The 1,579-nt window shown below is 55.9% G+C and overlaps 1 protein-coding gene across 1 annotated transcript in view, besides 1 other annotated feature; it reads left to right on the forward strand.

Annotated features, from left to right (window-relative positions):
* Window positions 1,211-1,579: part of a silencer, noted in NCBI's record as "silent region_5882", that runs on past the window's edge. NCBI's record gives its function as "represses an Ori minimal core promoter by ATAC-STARR-seq in GM12878 lymphoblastoid cells {active_cell/tissue: GM12878}" and the evidence as "EXISTENCE:reporter gene assay evidence [ECO:0000049][PMID:35858748]".
* SUSD6 (sushi domain containing 6) overlaps window positions 1,462-1,579 on the forward strand; it is a 103,549-nt gene continuing 103,431 nt past the window's right edge. Inside the window, exon 1 of the mRNA NM_014734.4 lies at window positions 1,462-1,579. This exon is cut by the window's right edge and continues 115 nt beyond it. The gene's annotated coding sequence lies outside the window, so the exon portion shown is untranslated.

The following is a 1,579-nucleotide window of genomic DNA, read 5'->3' on the forward strand; positions in this document are numbered from 1 at the left end:
CCACACTGATTTGGTTGTGCTCTGAGGCAGACCCAGGTAGTTCTGAATTGTGCTTTTCAATCTTCTAGTGGTCTGGGCAGTGTGGCCCCAAATGAGCAGGAAGGGAGGGGTGCCCATCTTCTCTAATGAGTCTGGACCCAAGAAGGCAAGGAAGAAAGAAGGCAGAACAAGGATAGACTTATGAAAAAGGCATTATAGCAACGAGCCACAGGTTGCTGTGGGGCCCAGAAGGGAAGGGTTCTTTTGGGGATGGGTCTGTGTGCATGGGGAGGAGCATCCTGTTTATTTGGTTCAAGCTACTTCACAAGGACATGCCCTGTTAATTCACAGTGCTTTTCCCGAAAGCCTACTAGAACTAGGCCTGGTGAGAGGCCCTGAGAAGGTGTATCCTTTTGTCCAAGAGCATCTGGGAGAAGAGGCCTGCCTGACCCAAGCTGCAGCAAAGACACAAGTCTGTAGGTCCAGATGTGGACTCTACCACTGATTTACAAGTAGGAGTTCCTTAACACTTATGGAGGACCTCTGAGACCGACACGGTGCAAGGCCCTGGGGTACAAAGATAAAAAGCCAGAGTCCTCCCCATCAAGGCGCCACGGGCCCTGTAAACACATAAACCGAGGACACACTGCATGAGAGATCACCAATAAACGATGTAGCCATACAGTGCACAAACTGCTCACTCAGTATGTGCTAGAAAATAGCCCCAGAAGGCAAGGCTCAAGAGGGGAAATACAGTTAGGAATGTGGCAGGCTTCTAGCCCGGGCTCTGCCAGTCCTGGCTCTGAACTGCGGTTTTCTCAACCTTGAGATCCCTTGTGTGCTTTTAGTATGCTGAAGGATCACTCACTTCAGAATGCTAGTGAAAATACAGATTCCCAAGTCCGACCCCACTGAATCACAATGGCTGGAGGTCATTCGGGGCCCCGAATCTGCATTTTCACCCCCACCCACCCCCCGGGCAGCTTTAATGTTGGCAGGCTAGGAACCACAGTTCGGATTACTGCTTAACAGGGAGATAATAACCTGCTTCAGACGAGCTAGGTCAGACGAGCAATTCAAGAGCTAACAAGGCAACATGCGCCAAAAGCCTTGTAAACCTCAGGGCAGTACAATTCTTTGCAAATAATAGTAATTCAATCATGCAAATAATAATAATAGTAAACGAACTGGAGAGCGCACTGGAAACGCCGCATAGTCCAGCTGAGTCGGTGCCACCGCCCCATCCACTCCAGCGCAGAGGGACTGTCTCTTTAAGGACCCCCCACCTCCCCAACCGCGTCGCTTCTCCCTTGGGTACCTGGCCCGGCCGGCGGCGCGTGCGTGCAGGGCCTCCCGGCGGGGCGGTCGCGGCGGCGCGACGCCGGCGCCGTTGCGTGCGCGCCTGGCCCTGCCCCTTTCCCGCCCCTTCCCCGCCCCCTCCCCTCCGCGGGGCCTCCCCCGCCCGCGCGGTACAGCTGGGTCAGTGACGCGGGCGCTGCAGCCGTCGCTACCGCCGCGTTCTATTCTCCGAAGCCGGCGACCGCCCCACCTCCTCCCTCCCTCCCGCCCGCTTCCTCTGCCCACAGCGCCGGCCAGAGCG

Source organism: Homo sapiens, chromosome 14 (assembly GCF_000001405.40).
Source record: "Homo sapiens chromosome 14, GRCh38.p14 Primary Assembly".
Classification (NCBI taxonomy): domain Eukaryota; kingdom Metazoa; phylum Chordata; class Mammalia; order Primates; family Hominidae; genus Homo; species Homo sapiens.